Source organism: Homo sapiens, chromosome 11, assembly GCF_000001405.40.
Source record: "Homo sapiens chromosome 11, GRCh38.p14 Primary Assembly".
NCBI classification, from domain to species: Eukaryota; Metazoa; Chordata; class Mammalia; order Primates; family Hominidae; genus Homo; species Homo sapiens.
In genome coordinates this window covers 83258929-83286575 of record NC_000011.10, presented here as the reverse complement: position 1 = coordinate 83286575, position 27647 = coordinate 83258929, and the positions used below count along the sequence as shown (strand labels likewise).

At 37.7% G+C, this 27647-nt stretch overlaps 2 protein-coding genes and 1 long non-coding RNA gene across 9 annotated transcripts in view, besides 5 other annotated features; 1 reads left to right on the top strand and 2 right to left on the bottom strand.

The window, feature by feature from the left end:
- Positions 1-456, bottom strand: part of CCDC90B-AS1 (CCDC90B antisense RNA 1) — a 140270-nt gene extending 139814 nt beyond the window's left edge. The window contains exon 1 of the long non-coding RNA NR_186344.1: positions 29-456. This is a non-coding gene — a long non-coding RNA (CCDC90B antisense RNA 1). The remainder of the gene's footprint in view (positions 1-28) is intronic.
- Positions 172-821: an enhancer, noted in NCBI's record as "active region_5353". NCBI's record gives its function as "activates an Ori minimal core promoter by ATAC-STARR-seq in GM12878 lymphoblastoid cells {active_cell/tissue: GM12878}" and the evidence as "EXISTENCE:reporter gene assay evidence [ECO:0000049][PMID:35858748]".
- Positions 172-839: a biological region, named in NCBI's record as "H3K27ac hESC enhancer GRCh37_chr11:82996780-82997375".
- On the top strand, positions 209-27495 carry CCDC90B (coiled-coil domain containing 90B). Of its 7 annotated transcripts, none has more exons than NM_001286116.2 (9): positions 209-476; positions 6316-6435; positions 7747-7850; positions 11836-11937; positions 12584-12625; positions 12712-12783; positions 12876-12929; positions 20597-20711; positions 24610-27495. In NM_001286116.2, the coding sequence occupies exons 3-9, from the start codon at positions 7830-7832 to the stop codon at positions 24663-24665; spliced, it is 462 nt and encodes a 153-aa protein (NP_001273045.2). In that variant the 5' UTR covers positions 209-476; positions 6316-6435; positions 7747-7829; the 3' UTR covers positions 24666-27495. The 7 variants fall into 7 exon arrangements, with proteins under 7 accessions (NP_001273045.2, NP_068597.2, NP_001273048.1 ...); NM_021825.5 differs by having other exon boundaries at positions 209-703; NM_001286119.3 differs by lacking the exons at positions 209-476; positions 7747-7850 and adding exons at positions 598-703; positions 1365-1449.
- Positions 244-839: an enhancer, noted in NCBI's record as "H3K27ac hESC enhancer chr11:82996780-82997375 (GRCh37/hg19 assembly coordinates)". NCBI's record gives its function as "activates a minimal SCP1, AML or CMV promoter by ChIP-STARR-seq in primed H9 embryonic stem cells {active_cell/tissue: H9 hESC(primed)}" and the evidence as "EXISTENCE:reporter gene assay evidence [ECO:0000049][PMID:30033119]".
- Positions 840-1436: an enhancer, noted in NCBI's record as "H3K27ac hESC enhancer chr11:82996183-82996779 (GRCh37/hg19 assembly coordinates)". NCBI's record gives its function as "activates a minimal SCP1, AML or CMV promoter by ChIP-STARR-seq in primed H9 embryonic stem cells {active_cell/tissue: H9 hESC(primed)}" and the evidence as "EXISTENCE:reporter gene assay evidence [ECO:0000049][PMID:30033119]".
- Positions 872-951: an enhancer, noted in NCBI's record as "active region_5352". NCBI's record gives its function as "activates an Ori minimal core promoter by ATAC-STARR-seq in GM12878 lymphoblastoid cells {active_cell/tissue: GM12878}" and the evidence as "EXISTENCE:reporter gene assay evidence [ECO:0000049][PMID:35858748]".
- The window catches only part of ANKRD42 (ankyrin repeat domain 42), a 70571-nt gene continuing 65217 nt past the window's right edge, over positions 22294-27647 (bottom strand). The window contains exon 13 of the mRNA NM_001433541.1: positions 22294-26519. Within this exon, the coding sequence (NP_001420470.1) occupies positions 26468-26519 (52 nt within the window). The 3' untranslated portion in view covers positions 22294-26467. The remainder of the gene's footprint in view (positions 26520-27647) is intronic.

The window sequence follows — 27647 nt, the reverse complement described above, 5'->3', positions numbered from 1 at the left end:
ATTCGGCTTCCCTAAAGAAAGGACATACCGACTGAAATAGTTGGTCCTCCCGTGCACCAGAGGGTGAAGCAGCAGGATGTGACGCCTCACGAAAAGTGAGCGGCTTGCTGGACTACACTTCCCAGAAGGTTTCGTTGGCCCTCGCACTACGCAATCACCCAGAACGCTCAGCGGCCGAAAACTTCAGGTTCCAGGCTGCTGTGCGGCTAAATGCGACTCCATCTCCCCCGACCCAAGCGCGTAATGGCCGCTGGCTATCTTGGGGGAGCCAGCTGTTGGACTATGCCCCACTGCCAGGAAACAGGCGCCGGAAGGTTCTCTGACAAGATCTCGCTTTCCTAGGGCGGTGAAGGCGTTCAAAGGTCGGGAAGGGGCGCTGGGAGAAGCGGGGCAGCGCTGAGCCATGCTCGCGAACTGTGGGTCTGTCTGTGAAGAGACCCAGTTTCGTGGGACCACGGTGGCGCCTGCGCTGGGAGGTGAGCTTGTGACAGAGCGAAAACTACAATTCCCAGCATTCCTGTGGTGCCAGAACTACCTTGCCCGAAAGCCTGTGCGAGATTTACCCCGTCTTCCGCCTCCCTCCCACCGGAAAACTCTGAGGACATGAATAGTCGCCAGGCTTGGCGGCTCTTTCTCTCCCAAGGCAGAGGAGATCGTTGGGTTTCAAGGCCCCGCGGGCATTTCTCGCCGGCCCTGCGGAGAGGTGAGGCAAGGCGTCGTGTCATAGATGCCTGAGTGCTCTCTAGGGAGACGATGCCCGTGGGGTCGCGCCTGCTCGAGCGAACGGGAAGAGAAGGTGCCACGCCCTCCTCCCGGATTCACGCCTTGTGCTGGGCGACGCCGCTGCCTGCTGCCCCGACTTGCCCAGCTCGCCCCAAGGGGCGAGGACTGAGGAAAGCACTGCCTTTCTGTTCTTAAAGCGAACCTTTGAAGGCCTGGGCTTCGCGCCCGGCTTCTTTCTCAGCCGTTGTTTCCGTTTTTTGGTGACAAGAGGCTAGTAATCTCGTCAGGAGCCAACGTAAGGTAATCTGTGTTTGAGGGTGTCCTGTTTTCTTTTGTGGCCTGATCAAATTTTGATTTTGTTTTTTTAGGTGCTGGCCTCGAGCCCAGGTTTTTGGTAGACAGCATCATAAATTTCAGGCCACGTCTGCCTTATTCTCACTGGAATTCTCAGTACATTTCAGTCACATTGTAGACTTTGGGAAAATAAGTGAATACTGGAACCCACAAGTTTCCAACCTGTTGGCACCCCTGTTAACAGGGTGTCCTGAAGACATCTAACTTTATTCAGAGAAATGTTTCTAGGGCTAGGTTTTTGTTGTCGTCGTTGTTTTTCACCCCCAGTTTTTTAACTTCCCTCCCAGTTTTTAAACCGTTTTAAGGTTGTCCACAAAATAGGCGAATAGGCACCTCTTATCTCTGTTCACCTTCTTGAATCTTCAGTGCCAGGTACGCTGAGCCATTCGGTACCCAAACACTTCTACGCTGTTATTTATACTCCATATTGTTACTTGTGCTATTTTGCTCATTGTTTCATTTTAATCCACACCAGTAACAGCTGCAGTCAAAACTGCAGTTGTTGATCCTCCATCTGTGAGATTGCTGTTTAGCTGCCAGGGTCATTCACAAGGTCTCTTTTGTTAGGTATTTGAGTGTTTAGCATACATACACATTATGATGGATTTTACAAAAAGGAGGTAGCACTTTTGAACTCCAGGAAGTCATCCAGCTGCCATCTTTGTTGACTTTTACATATCCAAATGAAAACAAAATTAAATGTTCTTAGAGAATGAACTTTGAAGTGTATATCATACTGGGAAATAAATGACCATAAGTACATGTTAATGTTTTAACATAAAAGTTATCCCACTTGAATCTGAGTGTTCTTGGAGAAACCTTAAATCTCTTCTTACAACTAGTAGGATTTGTGTCCTTCCTCACTAAACAAATATTGAATGTTTATTTTATACAAGTAGTTTAAACTTGCCTAATAATGTCAATAATCAAGGGATTTGAAAACCTTGACCTCTGACCAATGGAAGGACCTTAGTTATTCTAGTGCAACTAGTGTAGCACGTTAGTAGACCAGCATGTAAGAATATATGCTGTTAATGCCTGTTCTTTTGAATTCCTGACAGAAAAGTAACTGGCTATACACTGAAGTGTTTCAGCTGTAAAATTAGCAGTAAATTAATATAAAACTTGCAGCTTAAATTTAATGGGACAACACTTTACATGTTTGCTTGGTTGTTTTTTCAAAAGTAAAATTTGACCTTTTCCAGCAAAGAGGAGCTTGGTGCAAGATAGGCCAGAGTTCCAATCCACAATCTATGACTTAGTAGTTTTGTGAAACTGGTTAAACCTTTAAACTCTTGAGTTTGTATCTCGCTATTACGAACAAACAAATCCACAAGATAGGTATCAAAGAAACAAAAGTAGTAACAATGAAAGGAAAGGTTTGGGGTTTTGTACAGATGTTTAAGTCTGTACAAAACTCTTCAAATTATTAAGGATCTGTTATTCCACTTTGAGCTGGAAACACTGATTCTGGGCACTTCATCTCCCCTACCTATTAATATGGCTGCAAAGACTTACTTATTTTTATTTTTTATTTTTTTGAGACAGGGTCTCTGTCACTCAGGCTGGTGTGCCTTGGCGCCATCTCGGCTCCCTGCAGCCTGTGCCTCCCAGGCTCAGGTGATCCTCCCACTTCAGCCTCCCAAGTAGCTGGGACTACAGGCACACACCACCATGCCCAGCTAGTTTTTGTAATTTGTGTAGGGACAGAATCTTCCCACGTTGCCCAGGCTGATCTCAAACTCCTAGGCTCAAGCAATCCGCCTGCCTTGGCTTCCCAAAGTGCTAGGATTACAGGCATAAGCCACTGCACCCGGCCTGTAAAGACATTCTTAATGAGTGCTTATGCACTGAACTGCCCATGACACAGTTGGAATAGTGATTATGACACCCTACTATGAATATCCAATGGTTTTTCCAGTTCCTTATGGCTTCCAAAGTGGAGTGAAACCCAAAGTTCTACTGCCAGTGGGTGTCAATACCTACCTCATAGGATTGGGAGGACTAAGCAAAATATTATGTGAATATTTGAGCACATATAAGGAATAATGTTTTACATATCCTTCTGTATTCTCAGCTCTCCTTAACCCCATAATAAATAGAAGCCAAGAGAATAGCAAAGGCAGCCCATGCCTAGATTTTGCTGATTTCATTCATCCTGTCTGGATAACTTCTCTCAGATTTAATATAGTTCTACCATCATCCAAATAGCCATTCTTGATCCTTTATTCTCAAGGAGGGCCAAATGCTTCTCCTTTGTATTATTCATCATTGTGTATACATAATGCCAAGCACAGTGCCTTTCATTCAGCAAGTATCTATGGAGCATCCAGAATTGTGTAGGCATTGGGGATTCAGTAGTGAGCAAGAACAGATGTGGTCCCTGCTCTCAAGGACTGTATAGTTTAGTGCAGGGGTTGACAAACTTTCTGTAAAGAGCCTAATAAATATTTCAGGCTTTGTAGGCTGTAAGGTCAGTCACAACTATTTGCTTTGCCACTGTAGCATGAAAGTAGCCATAGATTAATCCATAAATGAATGAGCTGTGTTCTAATAAAACTATCTAGTTCTAATGAATAAAACTAGAAAAACAGGCGGTGGTAGTCTATGGGCTATAGTTGGCTGACTGCTGGTCTCTTGGGGAGACAACTGAGAGTCACATAAATGTGTAAATTATGAGAGGGTTTGCAAAAGAATCCTGTGCAGTACTATGAAAAACCATCATGAGAGAGACATAACCTAAAGGAGTCATCAGGCTTTCCAGAGGAAGAAACATTCAGACTGAGCTCTGAAGGATAAACATGAGCAGGCAAAGAAAAGGAGAGCTTTCTGAACAGGGCAGGGGCTAGGCAAAGGCCCTGAGAAGGGAAAGCACATGGCATGTTTGTGGAATTAAAATCAAAGAGCCCTTGAAAGCAGAGGACCAGAGAGAGCATAGTAGGACATGAGACGAGCTGCACCCTACAAAGATTTATTGGCTTGTTAAGGTATTTGGTCTCTATCCCAAATTTAGCAGGAAGCTGCTGGTATTCAGAGTGTTTGTTGACTAAGTCAGAGGAACTGTACTAATCTGCCTAGCTATGAGACCATAAGATCTCAGACTAATTACAGACAGTCCTCAACTTAAGATAGTTTAACTTAAAAATTTTTGACTTTACCATGGTGCAAAAACAGTGTGCATTCAGTAGAAACTGTACTTTGAATTTTGATCCTTTCCTAAGCTAACGATAATGCAGTATTCTTGCAATACTGGGCAGGGGCAGCAAGCCGCAGCTCCCAGTTAGCCATTGATCACAAGGGCAAACAACCAATACTTAGTATTGCCAGGGTTTTTGGGTTTTGTTTTTGCATCCCATCGTGTTTACAAAATGCCCATCTGGGTGTCTACATGAAATATTCAACACTTTATTATAAAGTAGGCTTTGTGTTAGATGATTTTGGCCAACTATAGGCTAACGTAAGTGTTCTCGACAAGCTTGAGGTAAGCCAGGCTAAGCTGTGATGTTCAGCAGGTTAGGTGTATTAAATGCATTTTCAGCTTAGGATATTTTCAATTTATGATGGATTTATTGGGACATAACCCTTTTATAAGCTGAGGAGCATCCATACTTAGCCCTGAGCCTCAATTTACCTCATCCATAAAATGAGAATTTTAAGGATGGGGTAATAGATGTGAAAACAGTAAAATATTATTTAAATATTATTACTGATTTTTTTTTTCTAAATCCAAATAAACTTCTAATCAGGAATATGTAACTAAGAGTACCATCATTACTCCTAATGCAGTTGTTATTGAAACTACTGAAATCTGCCCCTTTTTCCTCTAATTTTTCTTTTTCTCTCCTACCTTAGGTCTGATATTTACACACAAAGGCATAGTTCTTTACCCTTCTAGATGACATTCAAGTGAAAAAGATTACTGACCAGTGTACTAATATGTGTGTTTTTAAAAATTGCTCCACCTTTATTTACAGCTACTTGCTTTTATCTCTTCAGTTAAATAGAATTTTTTGGAGTATTTTAATGAATCTTTTATCATTTGAATTTAGAGTTTATTGTTAGATTTTTTAAAAAAAACAATATCTGTTTCCTGCCTTCTAGTCCATAAAATCAGTGAGAATATCATTTATGTCTGGTTTTGCTTATGATTTTATCCCCTATGCCTGGCACAAGTTCTAGCACTCAATCAATATTCATTAGGCTAGAAGGATATAAAGAAGGAATCACATTTGTCCTACACAGTACTAGTGGAAAAATAATGCCTGAAGTTGCAGCCTTTTAAATATCTAGATATTTTAAGTGACTTAAGATACATAAGAGAGACAGCATGGAGTGTAAGATTTGGAGTCAGAAGTACCTGAGTCTGAATCCTAATTCTGCCATTGGCTCTGTAAAGGTAACTCCTTCACCTTCCCAAAAGTTGTTTATGGGCAGGGCACCTTGTAATAAATTCATCAGCAATATATAGAAAAGGTCTTTACTGTGTCTAGGTTAAAACTTGGGGAATTTATTGAAATAGGACAAGAAGGGTTATTTCAGAAATGAGAAATTTTTCTTAGGGTTCTTATGTTGATACCAGTAAATACGTCCATGATTTCAAATCAAATTCATTGATTGAATCAACAGTAAAACTTGGTGGCCCAACTATGTGCCAAAGCACTGTTCTACGTGCTAAAGATACAGTAGTGAAAACCACAGTCAAAGCATCATGGAACTTCCATTCTGATCCAGAGATACAAACAGCAAATAAGATAATTTCATGTTGGAGCTGAGAACTACGTAGGAAATAAACTGTGGATATATAAGTGAGTGGGAGTATGGAAAGCTACTTTAAACAGGGATTAAGTGTAAAAAATTTTCATAGCTCTTTGAAAGACTATTACTGAGCACAGAGAAGAATTGAATTGTGCAGTTTCTGCTTTTCAGTAATTAGAGCTGAGGTGGTGATAACCAAAGCATTTGATGTGTGTTTTATTACAAGTTTATACTGACTCTTAACATTTCTGAATACCAAAGGAGGGAAAAGAAACATTTATTGAATGTTTGGTGTGTACAGAAGAACGTCAGAGACTTTTCAGATAAAAGAGAGGCTCAGAGGAGTCAATTAACTTGGGTGAGATGACAAAACTAGAAGAGCTGGAACTATATTATAAATGGATGGGGAAAATGCTTTGTAAGCTAAAGTAGCTTTGTAAGCTATCAGTTACTACAAAAGAAAAAAATTGTCTTCTCTTTCAGAGTTCTTCACTACCACAACCAAGGAGGGATATGATAGGCGGCCAGTGGATATAACTCCTTTAGAACAAAGGAAATTAACTTTTGATACCCATGCATTGGTTCAGGACTTGGAAACTCATGGTGAGAAACATGGATACCTCCTGAAAGAAGAAAATTAATAGCACTCATAATGCCTAGTTAAGACAATATCACTATTATGAACAATCAAAAGTAACTAAATAGATGTACCATCCATACAATGAAATATTTTATAGTCACTAAAAATGATACTGTTTGAGAAATATTTACTGATATGGGGAATGTTCAAGATATGTTAATTGAAAAAAGCATATGAAATAATATGTGCAGAATTATTCCAATTAAGTGAAAAAAAACTAGAGTTTCTAGGTTAAACTAAAGTCCGTGTGGAAGTACAAATGTTTGAGATTAAAAAATAAAAAAAAAGCACAAAAAATTACCTGATATCAAAACAGTAATTTAAATTATGTGATATTAAAGGAATAGACTAATAGAACAAAATGGTATTAAGAGACACAGACATGAATTTAATATGTGATGAAGGCATTACAAATTAGGGAAAGGAAGGACTATTTAATAAATGAGACATAATAAGTGACTAGCCACTGGGAAAAAATATATTAGATCCCCTTATTGAAAACTAAATTTCAGATAGATGAAAAGCTAAATGTAAAAGAAGAACAAGCAGTTTTACAGAAAAAGGTGGGCAAATGCTATAAACAAGCAGAACACAGAAAAATAAATATAAATAACAAAAAGTATATGTAATGCTTAACCTCTCTACAAACCAAGGAAATGCAAATTTAAGTAACATTAAAATAACAATGCAATACAATTTTTTATGCCAATTACACACTCAAAAAAAAAGTCATATCCAGTGTTAATGTAGATGTGGGGAGATACAGAATGAGAATTAAAATTTTAGAGTTTGTTTTTTTGTTTGTTTTTTTTTTGTTTTTTTTGAGACAGAGTCTCGCTCTGTTGCCCAGGCTGGAGTAAAGTGGCGCGATCTCGGCTTACTGCAAGCTCTGCCTCCCAGGTTCACACCATTCTCCTGCCTCAGCCTCCCGAGTAGCTGGGACTACGGGCGCCCGCCACCACGCCTGGCTATTTTTGTATATTTAGTACAGATGGGGTTTCACCGTGTTAGCCAGCATGGTCTCAATCTCCTGACCTTGTGATCTGCCCACCTCGGCCTCCCAAAGTGCTGGGATTACAGGCGTGAGCCACCATGCCCGGCCTAAAGTTGTAGAGTTCTTTTAGAGAGTAATTTAGTATTATCTGTCAATTTTTTAATTGTAACCATTATTTAAAAGAGTATAACAATTTAAATGTTGAGGAGTTACTCTTGCTGTCTATTTTGATAAGGATATACACTTTAAAAAAAATAAAATACCTATTTGCTGCCTACAGGATTTGACAAAACACAAGCAGAAACAATTGTATCAGCGTTAACTGCTTTATCAAATGTCAGCCTGGATACTATCTATAAAGAGATGGTCACTCAAGCTCAACAGGTAATACACTGATTACTATCACTTCTGATACTTTCATTAGACAATCATTTCATAACTATGTCTCTGTCTACCTACTGACCTTCCAAACATGCTTATATCTTCCTTGTTCTCTCTAAAGGGACCACAAAAAAAAACATTGAATAAAGTCAGTATTTAGAGAGACTGAATAGTTAGAATAGTTGTAATAATATTGTGGTAACAGAGAATGGTATTTTGCCAAATCTTTGATGGGATGAGATCATTATATTGTGTTATTCATGAGTGGTGGTAGATTGTTTGTGAAACAACTTTTTCCCTCTAGAAAGCTCACCACAGAAGAGCTAATCTTTCTATATATTCAGTATATTTTATTGCTGCTATACATACACATTGGTTAATTTTCACAGACATAGCTGGAAAGGACTTAGTTGGCTGGGAGGGACTTTATAAATTCCCTGGCTAAGACGCCTTAATTTAACTGAATATAAAAATCCTTAAAGTCAAACATAAGAATTTAACATGTAAGTGGCACAATGCTATGTACTTTTCGTATATTATTTAATCTCTAATAACCTTGAAAAGTAAGCAGAATTCTATTTGGCCACTGAAGACAGGCTCAGAGAAATTGAGTAGTTTGCAAGAGTTTTCACTGTGGTGGTATGGACAAAAAGCAATAATTTTATATAAAGGACTGAATAAACTAAATGAACTTAACTGGAATAATAATTCATTTCTGTCAGTCATGAAATAATGTATTATGTTTAGGAATCTGTTTTCTTCCTATGGTTATATTTTTTTCATTTTAATTTTTCAAATTTAGGCTTCCTTCCTCAGATAAGTATTTTACAGCACAGAGAAAAATCAGGATTTCTTATATAAAATTAGAATATTTTGCATAAAATTTCATTAAAGGGTCATGGTAGATCAAAAGATCTTACAGATTTCTACTATGGCCAGGTGCCGTGGGTCACACCTGTAATCCCATTACTTTGGGAGGCTGAGGTACACAGATCACTTGAGGTCAGGAGTTCAAGACTAGCCTGGCCAATAAGGTGAAACACTGTCTCTACTTGAAAAAACAAAAAAAAAAACAAAAATTAGCCGGGCATGGTGGTGGGCACCTGTAATCCCAGCTCCTCGGGAGGCTGAGGCAGGAGAATCGCTTGAACTGGGGAGGTGGAGGTTGCAATGAGCCAACATTGCACCACTGCGCTCCAGCCTGGGTGACAGAGACTCCATCTCAAAAAAAGAAAAAAACAAAAATTAAAACTGTAATCTCCAATTATAGTAGACAAATGTCCAATTAATTAGACATTTAAAATTGAAACATTCAATCCCTACATTTAACTTACCTTTAAGTTTGTACATGCATTTTTAGGATCATAACAGACTACTAAATCCACTAAAGAAAAAGCCAAACATCTAATTAGTTACTCCTAAGCTCCGAGCTGTCCTGAAAGAGCTATATGGAGCTACTGATACTTTTAATAAAGTAATTTTGTCTTAAATTTTTAAGTTTACCTATAATATAGGGAGTGAAATAAAGCTGTGATTTGAGGAATATTTGTGCTGCCAGGACCATTTAATCCTATATACAAGAGGTAGGATTGAGTATAGAAATATCACTATTAAACTTTTGGCTTTTTTATTACTGCTGTCTGAAGTTAAATAATCCTGTTCTGTTCTTGAACCTAATTCAATTGCTGACCCCACCTCTAGTATAGAATAAGGCACAGAGATGTCATGAAGGGTGAAGCTAAGGCTCAGGGTCATAGGCCATTAAGCTGCATACTTGATCACTTCAGAAAGGGCCATATGAAAACAAGTCAGCTAGCAGGATGAGGGGGAAAAAATAAAATAATAAAGTCTTATTCTGAAAATTTGATTATATTGTGATTTTGATTAAAATCTGAATATTCTCTGATGGCTCCATAGTAGTTTAAAAAAATCACACTTTTAATAGATTTAGCTACTTAACAATGGATTATGTGTACATTTAAAGTTGTTACAGATGGACACCTGTGCAGTTTTGTAGGCTTTTTGAGTCTGTATTTAAAGGAAGAATGAGGTAAAAAGAGGCTCTTAAGAGCCACATTAAGGCTGGTGTGGTGGCTCACGCCTGTAATCCCAGCACTTCAGGAGGCTGAGGTGAGCAGATCACTTGAGGTCAGAAGTTCGAGACCAGCCTGGCCAACGTGGCAAAACCCTGTCTCTACTAAAAATACAAAAAAATTAGCCAGGCATGATGGTGGGTGCATGTGGTCCCAGCTACTCAGGAGGCTGAGGCACGAGAATCACTCGAACCCAGGAAGTGGAGGCTGCAGTGAGACAAGATTGCGCCACTGCATTCCAGCCTGAGTGACAGAGCAAGGCTCTGTCTCAAAAAGGCCACAGTACAATCCCTTATTTTCAGGTTCAGACACCACAAGAAGTCTGTAATTAGCTTTCCAACTTCTATGTAATCTCAGTAATAAGAATACATTATTTTTAATGTCATATAATTCCTTTATAGTGATATTTGGGGCAAACACGACTGCCAGCCCCTAGAGGCCACATCTGTGTGACTTCTGAATTAATTCTCATAAAATATGTCAAGCAGAACTGAATAAAAGAAAATGAACAACCCTCCCCAGTAATATATGAGGGTTAGAAAAGGCATGAGTCAGCAATGTCTGTTGTACACAGTTAAAAACTTTTATGTATTATAAGAAGTCCAAACTTCCTCCACATTAATACATTAGCATTAGACTATCCTGCTTCAGCCATTAGATCCCTGTCCCATCGGTAATAATAATAGCTAACATCTCAGTGCTAACCATATGCCAAGTACTGTCTTAAGCATTATATGTACATAATCTCATTTAATCCTCAAAACAACTCTTTAAGTTGTACCAGGTACTGTTACTATTTCCATTTTACCAATGAGGAGACCAGAGAAGTTAAATGACTTGCTGGCATCTCACAGTAAATGGCAGAGTTTGGGTTCAAACCTAGACAGCCTGACTCCAGAACTCACACTCTTTTTTGGGCTTTCTTGTTTTATTTCTAAACTGTTATACAGAGTCCTTAATAAGGTTATACCTCATCTGCTTTTTCTTTTGGTAAAGGATAGAGAAATTAGCAAGCTACCTGATTTTAAGAAGTTTAGTGCTACAGGTTGAATATCCCTTATCTGAAATGCTTGGGACCAGAATTGTTTCAGATTTCAAATTTTTTTTTTTTTTTTTGGAATATTTGCAATACAGTTACCAGTTGAGCATCCCAAATCTGAAATCCAAAATACTCCAATGCACATTTCCTTTGAGTGTTATGTCAGCACTCAAAAAGTTCCAGATTTTGGATTTCAGATTTTTGGATTAGGGATATTCAATCTGTAACAGTTATATTTTCTTTGTAAGGCTGTCTTAAATCATTTCTACAAAATTGTCCCTCCCTAACGAGGCAAAAGCTTATAAATCTATCAGGTAAGTGCTACCTTTCACATATTCTTTGTAGTGCCAAATAATAGGGAGGATACCCAGGAATTTAAACAAAATTGGTTATGTTGTGCGGACAAAGGGCAATTATTTTAACTATACATCTATTTTGTTTTACTGCCTGACTTCTGAGTCGTATCCAATACCATGGAATTTTCCAGTGGTAGAAAATCTCTCAAAATCAAAGTAATAAGAGATAAAACCCTTTCCATCTGGGTATTCAAAAAATAAGAACAAAACATTATTTTTTTTGAGGAACTCTTAGGGTCTAAGGAAGCATTTTATTGAGATTCTTTTCATTCAAAGGCCTACAAATTTATCTCTCTTCACTAGGAAATCCTTTTTTTCTTCCTTGAATCTCTTTCTTTTCATTTTGATATTTCAGATATGTAGGTTTCATATTTACTTAACCAGTCAACATTATACCTTGTAGCATGTTAACAAATTCATTTAAATTTCATGAAAACAATTCTGTAAATAAAAAGATGGCTTTCTATAGATCACTAGGTTATTTTTATTTTGTTTTCTAGGAAATAACAGTACAACAGCTAATGGCTCATTTGGATGCTATCAGGAAAGACATGGTCATCCTAGAGAAAAGTGAATTTGCAAATCTGAGAGCAGAGAATGAGGTGATACAAATTTTAATTTATTACTTATAAAATAACTGATCTCATAATAAGCATCCTACTTAAGGAATAAGTTAATAAGACCAAGTAATAATTCCATGTGGTTAGTAAACAATAAGTTTTTAGATTTAAAAACATACTATTTGTTTAACCATACCTAATCTTTTTCTATATAAATCATAGTGCTTTGCATACTGAAGAGAATAAGAGTTACATTTTATACATATAAAACCACATAAAACAAAATCTTTGAGCTATATATATAAAATTTGTATATAATGGTTTCAGAGCTGAGAGTAATACGGCATTTTCTATTTTATTTAATCCTGTACTAAATGTCTTTGTGACTTAAAAGTATATTTCTGTAATTAAGTCAGAATTTTAAGTTATGTTATCCACTATAGCTTATTTTTAAATTTAGAAAATCAGTTTTTAAAAGTATAATATAAAAACAAATGCATTTTGCTCATAAGAATTATTTTCTGAATACAGTGGCTTACTAGTTTCTTTTGAAGATTTTTTTCCTTATCAATTCTGTATTAGAAATCCATAGATTGTCCAAATTTTGGTAATCTAGGGTTTCAGATTTTTTTAATCATAATATAGACTTGGTTTAATGCTAATTGCATGTGATCTTTCCTGTACCTAGAAAATGAAAATTGAATTAGACCAAGTTAAGCAACAACTAATGGTAAGTGAATTTTTTTTCTAGCTGTTAATTTCAGAACAAATATTCGTTACAAGATCATTTTTTAAATATCTTTGCTTTCTTTAAAGCATGAAACCAGTCGAATCAGAGCAGATAATAAACTGGATATCAACTTAGAAAGGAGCAGAGTAACAGATATGGTAATGTTCTTTTAAATGTACTTTCTTGGTTACTTACTCCTTTTTTATTTTTAGACTTTTTTTTTAACTTCCTGCTGCTTCATATCCTATAGTTTACAGATCAAGAAAAGCAACTTATGGAAACAACTACAGAATTTACAAAAAAGGTAAAGTAATATGTAAAAATGTCTCTTTTGTACAGTTCTTGTGCCTTGTATAACTGCTTTTATGTGTACCAGTTTATAAGTTTAGACTTTTAAAAACTACCCTTGTAGAGTCTCTGGCTTCCTCATAGCTATTATAGTTAACCAGCACTTTTGGGGAACCTGGCACCAGGTAGATGGTCGCCCATGAGCCATGACCTTGAAGTAAGAATCAAGATTTCCACATAGTGTGCTTTTTTAAACTAAATTACTTCTATAATAGAAAATAACTATTTTTTGGGCCAGGCACAGTAGCTCACACCTGTTAATCCTGCACTTTGGGAGGCTGAGGCAGGAGTTCAAGACCAGTCTGGGCAACATAGCAAGACCCTGTCTCAAAAACAAAAAAAAAAAAAAGAAAATAACTATTTTTTAAAAGACAAAGATTCACTATTGGTATTTCATAATTGGTACTTAAATGAGTGCCTAGGTTCAGTTAAATAATTATCTTAAGGTTTTAAAAAAGCTATATATTAATAACATATAAACACTAATATTTAGTGTTTATTTAATGTGCCAGATACCATTTTACATGCTTTACTTATATCTGTTAATTCACTTAATATTCATTTCAGTCTCTGTGAGGTAGGCACTATTATTCCCATTTTAACAATTTGGAAAATGAAGCACAGAGGGGTTAAGGTCCCACAGTTAATAAGTGGTGTCACTAGGGAAAAGAACCTGGATTCTAAATCCCTAACTTGGAACTACTGCTCTCCTTCTCAGTAATCCTACAATGTAATCATGACTTCATCTCTGTGGCTTGAGTAAAACCCAGCTTTCTGACTCAGCCTTGTCCTTTTCTTAAAAGTTCAAAGCCATTTGTCCACATTCTAACAGAAAATATGTCACTCTTGCTCATAATTTAATAGAAGAGAAGGTCACATTTGTTCTTTCAAAGATCTTATTCTCTTCCCTTACTTCTTGGCCAGATAAAGGAGATAAGCAAGGAAATCAGCAAAATCTTTTACAACTACTTTCTGTGCTCTAGGTCTCATCTGTCCTCCCTACCCTTTGTCCCCTATACCTGTATCAGTGTTACCCATCAGGTTATTTATGCCAGTTCCTTTAATACTGGCGCCAGTTCATATTATACACCTGGTTATTTTTTTTTCCATTTGCAGAATATATTTAAAGTTTTAACCATAATATCCTAAGGACTTCACACACATAAAATGATAGTTCTGTGACCTAATTTTTTGCTTCTTAGTTTATCATCTTATGTATTCAGGTATAAATATGTTATTATGAGGTTTTTAGAATATGCCCAGTATGTCATACCCCTAAAAGATGATCTCCAAATATGAAAGCAGAAGGAATGTAATTCGTCAGTTTATAGTGTTTTTAAAAAAAAATTTTTTTTAATACTTTAAGTTCTAGGGTACATGTGCACAACGTGCAAGTTTGATACATAGGTATACATGTACCATGTTGGTTTGCTGCACCCATCAACTCATCATTTTACCTTAGGTCCTAATGCTCTCCCTCACCCAACCACCACCCGACAGGCCCCAGTGTGTGATGTTTCTGTATCCAAGTGATCTCATTGTTCAATTCCTACCTATGAGTGAGAACATGCGGTGTTTGGTTTTCTGTCCTTGTGATAGTTTGCTGAAAATGATGGTTTCTGGCTTCATCCATGTCCCTGCAAAGGACATGAACTCATCCTTTTTTATGGCTGCATAGTATTCCGTGGTGTATATGTGCCATGTTTTCTTAATCCAGTCTGTCATTGATGAACATTTGGGTTGGTTCCAAGTCTTTGCTATTGTGAATAGTGCCTCAATAAACATACGTGTGCATGTGTCTTTATAGTAGCATGATTTATAACCCTTTCGGTATATACCCAGTAATGGGATTGCTGGGTCAAATAGTAATTCTAGTTCTAGATCCTTGAGGAATTGCCACACTGTCTTCCACAATGGTTGAACGAATTTACACTCCCACCAACAGTGTAAAAGCGTTCCTATTTCTCCACATCCTCTCCAGCATCTGTTGTTTCCTGACTTTTTAATGACTGCCATTCCAACTGGTGTGAGATGGTATCTCATTGTGGTTTTGGTTTGCATTTCTCTGATGACCAGTGATGATGAGCATTTTTTCATGTGTCTGTTGGCTGCATAGATGTCTTCTTTTGAGAAGCGTCTGTTCATATCCTTTGCCCACTTTTTGATGGGGTTGTTTTTTCTTGTAAATTTGAGTTCTTTATAGATTCTGGATATTAGCCCTTTGTCAGATGGGTAGATTGCAAAAATTTTCTCCCATTCTGTAGGTTGCCTGTTCACTCTGATGGTAGTTTCTTTGCTGTACAGAAGCTCTTTAGTTTAATTAGATCTCATTTGTCTATTTTGGCTTTTGTTGCCATTGCTTTTGGTGTTTTAGTCATGAAGTCCTTGCACATGCCTATGTCCTGAATGGAATTGCCTAAGTTTTCTTCTAGGGTTTTTATGGTTTTAGGTCTAACATTTAAGTCTTTAATCCATCTTGAATTAATTTTTGTATAAGGTGTAAGGAAGGGGTCTAGTTTCAGCTTTCTACATATGGCTAGCCAGTTTTCCCAGCACCATTTATTAAATAGGGACTCCTTTCCCCATTTCTTGTTTTTGTCAGGTTTGTCAAAGATCAGATGGTTGTAGATGTGTGGTGTTATTTCTGAGGCCTCTGTTCTGTTCCATTGGTCTGTATATCTGTTTTGGTACCAGTACCATGCTGTTTTGGTTACTGTAGCCTTGTAATATGGTTTGAAGTCAGGTAGCTTGATGCCTCCAGCTTTGTTCTTTTTGCTTAGGATTGTCTTCGCCATGCGGGCTCTTTTTTGGTTCCATATGAACTTTAAAGTAGTTTTTTCCAATTCTGTGAAGAAAGTCATTGGTAGCTTGATGGGGATGGCAGTATGGCCATTTTCACAATATTGATTCTTCCTATCCATGAGCATGGAATATTCTTCCATTTGTTTGTGTCCTCTTTTATTTCACTGAGCAGTGGTTTGAAGTTGTCCTTGAAGAGGTCCTTCACATCCCTTATAAGTTAGATTCCTAGGTATTTTATTCTCTTTGTAGCAATTGTGAATGGGAGTTCACTCATGATTTGACTCTGTTTGTCTGTTAATGGTGTATAGGAATGCTTGTGATTTTTGCACATTGATTTTGTATCCTGAGACTTTCTGAAGTTGCTTATCAGTTTAAGGAGATTTTGGGCTGTGACAGTGGGGTTTTCTACATATACAATCATGTCATCTGCAAACAGGGACAATTTGACTTCCTCTCTTCCTAATTGAATACCCTTTATTTCTCTTGCCTGATTGCCCTGGCCAGAACTTCCAACACTATGTTGAGTGGGAGTGATGAGAGAGGGCATCCTCGTCTTGTGCCGGTTTTCAAAGGGAATGCTTCCAGTTTTTGCCCATTCAGTATGATATTGGCTGTGGGTTTGTCATAAATAGCTCTTATTGTTTTGAGATACGTTCCATCAATACCTAGTTTATTGGGAGTTTTTAGCATGAAGGGCTGTTGAATTTTGTTGAAGCCCTTTTCTGCATCTGTTGAGATAATCATGTGGTTTTGTCTTTGGTTCTGTTTATGTGATGGATTACGTTTATTGATTTGTGTATACTGAACCAGCTTTGCATCCCAGGGATGAAGCCGACTTGATCGTGGTGGATAAGCTTTTTGATGTGCTGCTGGATTCGGTTTGCCAGTATTTTATTGAGGATTTTCGCATCGACGTTCATCACGGATATTGCTCTGAAATTCTTTTTTTGTTGTGTCTCTGCCAGGCTTTGGTATCAGGATGATGTTGGCCTCATAAAATGAGTTAGGGAAGATTCCCTCTTTTTCTGTTGATTGGAATAGTTTCAGAAGGAATAGTACCAGCTCCTCTTTGTACCTCTGGTAGAATTTGGCTGTGAATCTGTCTGGTCCTGGACTTTTTTTGGTTGTTAGGCTATTAATTACTGCCTCAATTTCAGAGCCTGTTATTGGTCTATTTAGAGATTCAACTTCTTCCTGGTTTAGTCTTGGGAGGGTATATGTGTCCAGGAATTTATCCATTTATTCTAGATTTTCTAGTTTATTTGTGTAGAGGTGTTTATAGTATTCTCTGATGGTAGTCTATATCTGTGGGATCGGTGGTGATATCCCCTTTATCATTTTTTGTTGCATCTATTTGATTCTTCTCTCTTTTCTTCTTTATTAGTCTGGCTAGTGGTCTATCAATTTTGTTGATCTTTTCAAAAAACCAGCTCCTAGGTTCATTGATTGTTTTTTTAAGGGTTTGTTGTGTCTCTTATCTCTTTTTTAAGGGTTTGTTGTGTCTCTTATCTCTTACCTCTGAAAGAGATAAGAAGCAGCAGAAGTTATTTATTGCCTTCTGCTAGCTTTTGAATGTGTTTGCTCTTGCTTCTCTAGTTCTTTTAATTGTGATGTTAGGGTGTCGATTTTAGATCTTTCCTGCTTTCTCTTGTGGGCATTTAGTGCTATAAATTTCCCTCTACACACTGTTTTAAATGTGTCTCAGAGATTCTGGTACGTTGTGTCTTTGTTCTCATTGGTTTCAAAGAACATCTTTATTTCTGCCTTCATTTCGTTATGTACCCAGTAGTCATTCAGTAGCAGGTTGTTCAGTTTCCATGTAGTTGTGCAGTTTTGAGTGAGTTTCTTAATCTTGAGTTCTAATTTGATTGCACTGTGGTCTGAGAGACAGTTTGTTGTGATTTCTGTTCTTTTACATTTGCTGAGGAGTGCAAGTGCTTTACTTCCAATTATGTGGTCAGTTTTAGAATAAGTGTGATGTGGTGCTGAGAAGAATGTATACTCTGTTGATTTGGGTTGGAGAGTTCTGTAGATGTCTATTAAGTCTGCTTGTTGCAGAGCTGAGTTCAAGTCCTGGATATCCTTGTTAACCTTCTGTCTCGTTGATCTATCTAATATTGACAGTGGAGTGTTAAAGTCTCCCATTATTATTATGTGGGAGTCTAAGTCTTTTTGTCGGTTTCTAAGGACTTGCTTTATGAATTTGGCTGCTCCTGTATTGGGTGCATATATATTTAGGATAATTAGCTCTTCTTGTTGAATTGATCCCTTTACCATTATGTAATGGCCTTCTTTGTCTCTTTTGATCTTTGTTGGTTTAAAGTCTGTTTTATCAGAGACTAGGATTGCAACCCCTGCTTTTTTTTTTTTTGCTTTCCATTTGCTTGGTACATCTTCCTGCATCCCTTTATTTTGAGCCTATGTGCATCTTTGCACGTGAGATGGGTCTCCTCAGTACAGCACACTGATGGGTCTTGATTCTATCCAATTTGCCAGTCTGTGTCTTTTAATTGGGGCATTTAGTCCATTCATATTTAAGGTTAATATTGTTATGTGTGAATTTGATCCTGTCATTATGATGTTCGCTGGTTATTTTGCCCATTAATTGATGCAGTTTCTTCATAGCATCGATGGTCTTTACAATTTGGCATGTTTTTGCAGTGGTTGGTACTGGTTGTTCCTTTCCATGTTTAGTGCTTCCTTCAGGAGCTCTTTTAGGGCAGGCCTGGTGGTGACAAAATCTCTCAGCATTTGCTTGTCTGTAAAGGATTTTATTTCTCCTTCACTTATGAGGCTTAGTTTGGCTAGATATGAAATTCTGGGTTGAAAATTCTATAAGAATGTTGAATATTGGCCCCCACTCTCTTCTGGCTTGTAGGGTTTCTGCCAAGAGGTCCGCTGTTAGTCTGATGGGCTTCCCTTTGTGGGTAACTTGACCTTTCTTTCTGGCTGCCCTTAACACTTTTTCCTTCATTTCAACCTTGGTGAATCTGATAATTATGTGTCTTGGGGTTGCTCTTCTTAAGGAGTATCTTTGTGATGTTCTTTGTATTTCCTGAATTTGAATGTTGGCCTGCTTTGCTAGGTTGGGGAAGTTCTCCTGGATAATATCCTGAAGTGTTTTCCAACTTGGTTCCATTCTCCCACTTTCAGGTACACCAATCAAACGTAGATTTGATCTTTTCACATAGTCCCATATTTCTTGGAGGCTTTGTTCGTTTCTTTTTACTCTTTTTTCTCTAACCTTGTCTTCTCGCTTTATTTCATTAATTTGATCTTCAGTCACTGGTACCTGTCTTCCACTTGATTGTATCAGCTGTTGAAGCTTGGGCATGCATCACGAAGTTCTCGTGCCATGGTTTTCAGCTCCATCAGGTCATTTAAGGTCTTCTCTACACTGTTTATTCTAGTTAGCCATTCGTCTAATCTTTTTTCAAGGTTTTTAGCTTCCTTGCAATGGGTTCAAACATCCTCCTTTACCTTGGAGGAGTTTGTTATTACCGACCTTGTGAAGCCTGCTTCTGTCAACTCATCAGTCATTCTCAGTCCAGTTTTCTTCTTGCCATTGCTGGCAAGGAGCTGCAATCCTCTGGAGGAGAAGAGGCACTATGATTTTTAGAATTTTCAGCTTTTCTGCTCTGGTTTTTCCCCATCTTTGTTGTTTTATCTACCTCTGGTCTTTGATGTTGGTGACCTACAGATGGGGTTTTGGTGTAGATGACCTTTTTGTTGATGTTGATGCTATTCCTTTCTGTTTGTTAGTTTTCCTTCTAACAGTCAGGACCCTCAGCTGCAGGTCTGTTGGAGTTTGCTGGAGGTCCACTCCAGACCCTGTTTACCTGGGTATCACCAGCAGAGGCTGCAGAACAGCAAATATTGCTGCCTGATCCTTCCTCTGGAAGCTTTGTCCCAGAGGTGCAGCCGCCTATATGAGGTGTGTGTCAGCCCCTACTGGAAGATGTCTCCCAGTTAGGCTACACAGGGGTCAGGGACCCAATTGAAGAAGCAGTCTCTCCGTTCTCAGAGCTCAAACGCTGTCGTGAGAGAACCACTGCTGTCTTCACAGCTGTCAGACAGGGACATTTAAGTCTGCAGAAGTTGTCTGCTGCCTTTTGTTCAGCTATGCCCTGCCCACAGAGGTGGAGTCTAGAGACAGTAGGCATTGTTGTGCTGTGGTGGGCTCAGCCCAGTTCAAGCTCCCCTGCCACTTTGTTTACCTACTCAAGCCTCAGCAATGGCGGATGCCCCTTCCCCAGCCAGTCTGCTGCCTCACAGTTCGATTTCAGACTGCTGTGCTAGCAGTGAGCAAGGCTCCGTGGGCGTGGGACCCGCTGAGCCAGGCACAGGAGAGAATCTCCTTGTCTGCCAGTTGCTAAGACCTTGGGAAAAGTGCAGTATTTGGGCAGGAGTGTCCCATTTTTCCAGGTAGTCTGTCATGGCTTCCCTTGGCTAGGAAAGGGAAATCCGCTGACCCCTTGCGCTTCCAGGGTGAGGCAATGCCCCACCCTGCTTCAGCTCACCCTCCGTGCGCTGCACCCACTGTCCAACCAGTCCCAATGAGATGAACCAGGTACCTCAGTTGGAAATGCAGAAATCACCCGTCTTCTGCGTTGATCACGCTGGGAGCTGCAGAGTGGAGCTGTTCCCTTTTGGCCATCTTGGAACACTTCAAATTTTTTTACACCACTATGCTTTTAATGTTTCCCCAACTAAGACTTTTATATCACAATTAGCCCATAAGTGAGGGTTTATAATGTAAATGCTTTTGTCCATTTAATACATAGGGACAAAATTAAGTTCTCTTATTCTGGTTTACCACAGGATACTCAAACCAAAAGTATTATTTCAGAGACCAGTAATAAAATTGACGCTGAAATTGCTTCCTTAAAAACACTGATGGAATCTAACAAACTTGAGACAATTCGTTATCTTGCAGGTAAGACTGTCAGAGAAAGAAATTGCTGTCATCTAATTTTCCTGTTAGTTCTACCTATCAAGGTAACTGAGCAGGCACAGGAAAAAAAGGAGGAGCTAGATAACAAGGCTCCTTTATTGCTTGGTCCCCTGTAGTGCTTAAAGAAGGTTCCAGTCTCAGGATATATTTTTTGGAGTCTTGGGTTTTATTTTTAATACTTATAATTTTTATTATAGCAGATTACAAATTAGACGCAGCCAAAGGAAGGAACATATAGGGTGTAGTATTGGACAGTTCTAAATGTTAAGCTTCTGTCATCCTCACAGATGTGTTACCCTTCAGAATCTAAGTTTAGCAGGCAACTCTGCAGCTGACTAATAGAAAAAGCATGTGGATATAAAAGAAATATATAAACACAAGCAGAAAATGATAGAAGGATAAACTGTGGTACTCCACAGTGGAAAAAAAAATGAAAATTTTCTTTTTATTGCTTATGTTCTTCCATAAAGATTTGAAAGAGGTTAGAGAAAAAAGATCAATAAATTAGATATAAGCCCATTAAAAACCTGGAGGAGGGACAGATGACCTTACCTTGAATCAACTGATTCAGCATAGACACTATCCCAAAATTAGATTATTTGTCACATACTGAGCTCCTCAAGTACCATCTGACCTGACCCAATTACAGGGCCCCAGTGATTTAGGAAGAATGCCCTAGTCAACTATTACTTGTCTTTTTTCTTTCCTTTTATAAAAAGTAATGTATTTTCATTATAAATTTTTTTTATAAGTTTTAGGGTCATGTGCACAATGTGCAGGTTAGTTACATATGTATACATGTGCCATGCTGGTGCGCTGCACCCAGTAACTCGTCATTTAGCATTAGGTATATCTCCCAATGCTATCCCTCCCCCCTCCCCCCACCCCACAACAGTCCCCAGAGCGTGATGTTCCCCTTCCTGTGTCCATGTGTTCTCATTGTTCAGTTCCCACCTATGAGTGAGAATATGCAGTGTTTGGTTTTTTGTTCTTGTGATAGTTTACTGAGAATGATGATTTCCAATTTCATCCATGTCCCTACAAAGGACATGAACTCATCATTTTTTATGGCTGCATAGTATTCCATGGTGTATATGTGCCACATTTTCTTAATCCAGTCTATCATTGTTGGCCATTTGGGTTGGTTCCAACAAAGATACTCCTCGAGAAGAGCAACTCCATAATTGTCAGATTCACCAAAGTTGAAATGAAGGAAAAAATGTTAAGGGCAGCCAGAGAAAAAGGTCGGGTTACCCTCAAAGGGAAGCCCGTCAGACTAACAGCAGATCTCTCAGCAGAAACTCTACAAAGCCAGAAGAGAGTGGGGGCCAATATTCAACATTCTTAAAGAAAAGAATTTTCAACCCAGAATTTCATTATAAATTATTCATAGAATTCAAAAGCCGAAAAAGTGAAAGCCCCTCCCCGTGTGTATTTACTATTAGTAGTAAACATTTTCTAGGCTTTTTCTTCTGTATATAAACATCTTATATACTTCTTAAAAATAATTAGATCACGTATTTTTTATAGTCTACAACTTTTTAAAGTTTAACCAAATGTCCTATTTCTTTCCACACAGACATCTTTTTATTAGAAAGCACAGTATTCCCTATATGAAAATGCCACAATTTATGTATCCAGTCCTTTATTAACAGGCATTCTCCCTTCAGTTTTTTATTATTAAGGACAATACTGTATTGAACAGCCATATATATGTGTTAACGTTTGAGTAAATACACATACACACACACATATCTTGGTGGCCCTGTGCTAGTATTTCTATATAACAACTTGCTATGTACATTTAAAATTTGGGGTCAAAAAGATATGCACATTTAAGATTTTTGATATTAACAAATTGCTGTCTAAAAGAAAACTGCCGATTTATACTCTTAGTCATTTTCTGGGCAGTCACTACTGATGTTGAGGTGCCAGCAGGGTTGAAGATGGAGCCCCCAGCCATCAGCTGAACCGTGGATGGGGCACAAGTAAAATAGCCTACCTACAAGCATAATTGGAATCAGAACTTACTCTTTAAATCTGTGACTGTGTGCCTCAATTTCTCATACCAGCTTTCTCCATAGGTTGGAAACATTACCACCTAGACTCTTATCATTCCACTTTCACTAATCAGGAGAGATTGCCCTCTTTCCTTAGTTCCAATTTTTAAAATCCTCAGAAAGGAGTCTGAATGGTTCATCGTGGGTCAGACGCCACCTTTTGACCCAGAACACTGCCACCAAGGAATAATGGCAATTTCCATTTAATCTATGTAGATAATGTGGCAGATTTTGTTCGTGGCAGATAAATAATGAAAGCTAATGTTTACAGAGTGCTTAAAATGTACCAGGCATATGCTCACCTAAGCATTTTACATATATGTAGAATGTCTCCCTAGACAGGGTATAGAGGATAAACAGCAAACTTAAAAGAAATTGGAGATGGCTCCAATTGTTGTTGTTACTGCAACAACAGCCATGAGAAATAAAAGCTGAAATAACAGCAGCAAGACATGAGAGAGAAACTTAAATGCAGTAACGATTGTATACTCTACTGAAGTAGAGTATACTTCACCTCACAATAAGTGTTCATTTGGTTATCTAAAACTTAATTTATCAGCTGTTGAATCAGCAGAGGATGTAACCACTTAGATAGCACTATGTGACTCAAATAAATGACAGATTGAGTCTTTCAAGTGTCACAGTATATAATAAGGATCACAAATTTTGTGTGTGTGTTTTTTTATTAAGAGAAAAAAAATGGCTTTGGAGTCAAGTACACTTAGTCTTAAATCCCGGCTCCACTGTTTGCTAGCGATGTAACTGGGTGTATTACCTCATCTGTACAATGGGGATAATACCACCAATCTCATGGTTAAATAAAGTAGTGTGTGTAATTGCTCAGCATAGTAGCATAGTACTTGACACACAGCAAATAGTAGCAGGATCAAATGGGAGAATATATAATTGCCCAGTGGCTGTAAGACAAGAAACTCTTAGTGTTATTACTTCTCTATATTTCTTAGAGATGCCTAATCCCATTTCTTAAAACTGAGAAAATGATCTTATCATTAACCAAGTTTCAGTAAGTAGTAGGATCAAATGGGGTGGTGTACAAATGGGTTTATACATTATGAATAACTTTACTTTGAAAGGCTAATTTCTTGTGTCTTTATTCATAAAAGTTTTCCATTCATCTCTCACTTGTCTGTTTTTAAAAATTCATTCATCGGTGTTTTAAACAAACTGGAGACTAGGGAGTCCCTAAAGGCCTCACTCAGACTTACCTTCTAAAAGCTGGGAAAACTGAATTTTTTTTTATCCAAAATGATGTAAGCTAAAGTACAGGTAGTATATTAACTATTTTAAAAACCTAATGCTTTTTCTGCCTTTTCTTCTACCTCATTGAGTTTAAAGAGTTTTTATTAAAATTTTATTAAGAATTATGAGAAATTATTTAAAAATGTACTGAAAAGGCAATTAAAATTCTCTTCTCACAGATATATGTATATTTTACTAGCCTAACTACGTAATTTTTTAATATAAGAAAGATTTCATTTATCATGAGATCTGAAATTAGAGCTTATAATTATTTAAAGTAGTCAATAATGCTAGCGTTAATGATTTTAAATACAGGTTATAGGTTTCTAAATGACATAATTTACATTTTAATATACAGGTGCTTTTAAGAAGAATTAGGCATTAAGGCTGCCCTTAAGAATGTCTTTCATACTTAATTGTCTAGGGAATAAAAAACATAGGATAGAAAATTGGTTGGATTTCCTGTTTTTTGCTCTTCACTTAAAGATAACATTATTCTCTTTATCTCTGCAAAATAATTACAGATACAAGACCTATAACACAGTTTCTTCTTTTCACAGCTTCGGTGTTTACTTGCCTGGCAATAGCATTGGGATTTTATAGATTCTGGAAGTAGTATTAATGCTCATCCTGCTGTGGCTGTTGGCTTCTTAGAACACCAAACCGGGAGAGATTTACTTTGAACATTGTCAGTTGCAGCAAAAATTTACTACACAAGATTATTCGAAGTGTATACGGACTAAAAGAGGAAGTGTTTTAGAATGAGAAGAGATACTGTGTCTTTATTGTGTGTGTGTGAGTGCAGGTGTGTGTCTTTATTATATTGAAAAGCTGTCACTCAGACCTGGTTTGAGATAGAAGAGCATTTTGTCCTTTTGATAGTTAATAGAAATTGAACCAGAGTTTTCTTATGTTTGCTTGAACAGTTGTGTAAATCATACAGGATTTTGTGGGTATTGGTTGAATATTTGTAAACCATTCCCTAGCCTACATATTTATTACTGAATTAACTTTCCTGATAACCATTGCATAATTACATTTTTCTATAAAATGAAAGATTATTACAACAAAGTTGTGTGGGTTTTCAAAGTGACTTACCATATAGTTGGAGATTGATTTCTTTTTGGTAATGAACTAAAACAATAAATTTTAAAATGATAGGCCAGGCGCGGTGGCTCACACCTGTAATCTCAGCACTTTGGGAGGCTGAGGCGGGTGGATCACTTGAGGTCAGGAGTTCTAGACCAGCCTGGCCAACATGGTGAAACCCCGTCTCTGCTAAAAATACAAAAATTAGCCAGGCATGGTGGCACATGCCTGTAATTCCAGCTACTCGGGAGGCTGAGGCAGGAGAATCTTGCAGTGAGCCGAGATAGCACCACTGCACTCCAGCCTGGGTGACAGAGCAAGACTCCATTACCTAAATAAATAAATGTGTGCTTTAGTGCAAATTACAACACTTAATATGAAATCTGTAGAGTTGCTAAATATTGAGCTCTGATTATTACATGTATTTTTTAAATATTTGATACTCAAAAACCAGTTTATCCCTGCTTCTTAATGTAGTTTAAGTTAACCCATCTTAAATTTATTACATAAAACAAAGCTTTTCTTAATGACTTCAATTCAGCAAACATTGATATCTAGTACCTACTCTCAAGAAACTCATAGGAAAATTTAAATTCGTATTTTGTTTTGTTATTAGATATATTTTTTCTTACAAAGTAATATCTATTAGTAAATCATATGTAATTTCAAAGAAATTTTAAAATATCCTTTTCATCTTAGTTCTTCAGTCTTACCCAGATCAAGAAGACAAGACCAGAAAGTAAACATTTTGAGTTCATAATGCCTTGGTAATAGCTATAAAAGTTTGACAATCATTATTCAAAATAGCCTTGTCATTTGTTTAGCTATAAACAGGGAATCTGCAGTATAGAGCAGTCAAGAGATTGGTCCATATGGTCCAGTGAGTGAGAGTCAGGCTTTCCAACTATATTTTCCTCAAAAATCTAACTGCTGGTTTGTTTTCAAAAGAAAAACCTTGACATTATCCTGTTACATTCTGATTCATTTTTATCTCTATTGCCTAAGAGAGTTCTTAGTATATTATAGATTAATTTTCACTGAGTCAATTAATAAGTTACCATATATATTAAAGTCCACTGTAACAAAGTATACTGCATTTGTTCAGTTAACCAATATGACTGCCTGCTATATGCCAAACAGCATGCTAGTCCCTGTGTGCACAGAGATGAACATGGTTTCATTCTCATTGAATTGACAATCTTAAGGAGAGAGACATAAACAAGTAAATTATTGGTTTGTTAAGATTTAAAATATTCTAAAATATTAAGAGGGAATGCGTCTTTCCTCCATGTGAAGGAAGCTCCAGTAGCATAACACTGTCGTCACTCTTCATCCCCTTATCCACTCTGCCCTAGGTAAAGTGACTTGCCCAATTGTAAATCTGGAAGGAGAAACAAGGTGCAATTAGCCCACTTCCTCCCCACTCCTGTTTGGGACCAGCCCATCTGAAGAGACATTCATTCTGTTCTGCTTCTATGGGATCAGGCTCTGCCTCTGCAGGATGAGGCCTGGCCCAGTAGAGCAATGCTTGAGACAGGGTAAATCTGTCCAGTTCTAGAGTTCAGTGATAAGAAGCTTACTGGCCTTAAGATGAAACCCATATTCTCTTGCTGAGCACAGTGGCACACATCTATAGTCCTAGCTGCTTGGGAGGCTGCGGCAGCAGGATTGCTTGAGCCAAGGAGTTCATCAAGGCTAAAGTGTACCATGATCATACCTATAAATAGTCACTGCACTCCAGCCTGGCAACACATGAGACCCTGTCTCCTAAAAAAAAACTTCTCCAATAGTTTTATCAGCAAATAAAGGTGTTTTTTAGGCCTCTATATTAGTTTATTCATTCTTCATCTTAGTTATATTCACAACCCAGAATGGAAAGGAGGTATGCCATTTATTGGACCTTCTCAAGCCCCAACAAATAAATATACTTATTCCCAGGTTATACAGCCACTAAATATTAAATAGATCTGCGTTCTTTCTCATTGTAGGGGTTTAGCAAACAAAGTGCTTTGTATCCAATAACAGAAGAATAGAAATATGCATACCATACCCTGTCCCCATTACTTTTAGATCCTATATCCTTTCCATGAAACTTCATTTTGATGGTGGTTCTGGGGTTCAGGTAAATTTTTGTTTCAGTGATGGAAATATATGAAATAAGGATGAGAGGATTGTGTTTCTATATGCCTTAAAACTATACCTCTATTCCAGCACTTGCACTTCACTATGAAACAGCAATTATACGTATCTTTTTCCTACACTAAACTACAAGTTCTCAGAAGGCCTCTAGACACATGTGAGGTACTTGTTAAACGCCTGTGGAATAAATGATACTCATAAATCTCAGTTGACCTTAATCCAAACTTTTTAATATTTTAAATATTTAATTATGGGTATGCTGAAAATACTGCATTCATACTGAGTGAGCGTAATACACCTTTTAGGCATTTTCTATGAGTGGTAAGAAGCCTCCACAAGGATTAGCTACTTTCACCATGTTTATAGCCAC

Bases quoted from the DNA above. Each gene is read 5' to 3' on its own strand.
- CCDC90B (NM_021825.5), top strand. From the start codon at position 604: ATGAATAGTCGCCAGGCTTGGCGGCTCTTTCTCTCCCAAGGCAGAGGA. The intron at 704-6,315 runs GTGAGGCAAGGC...CTTCTCTTTCAG, and splicing joins CTCGCCGGCCCTGCGGAGAG to AGTTCTTCACTACCACAACC. The intron at 20,712-24,609 runs GTAAGACTGTCA...TTCTTTTCACAG, and splicing joins GACAATTCGTTATCTTGCAG to CTTCGGTGTTTACTTGCCTG.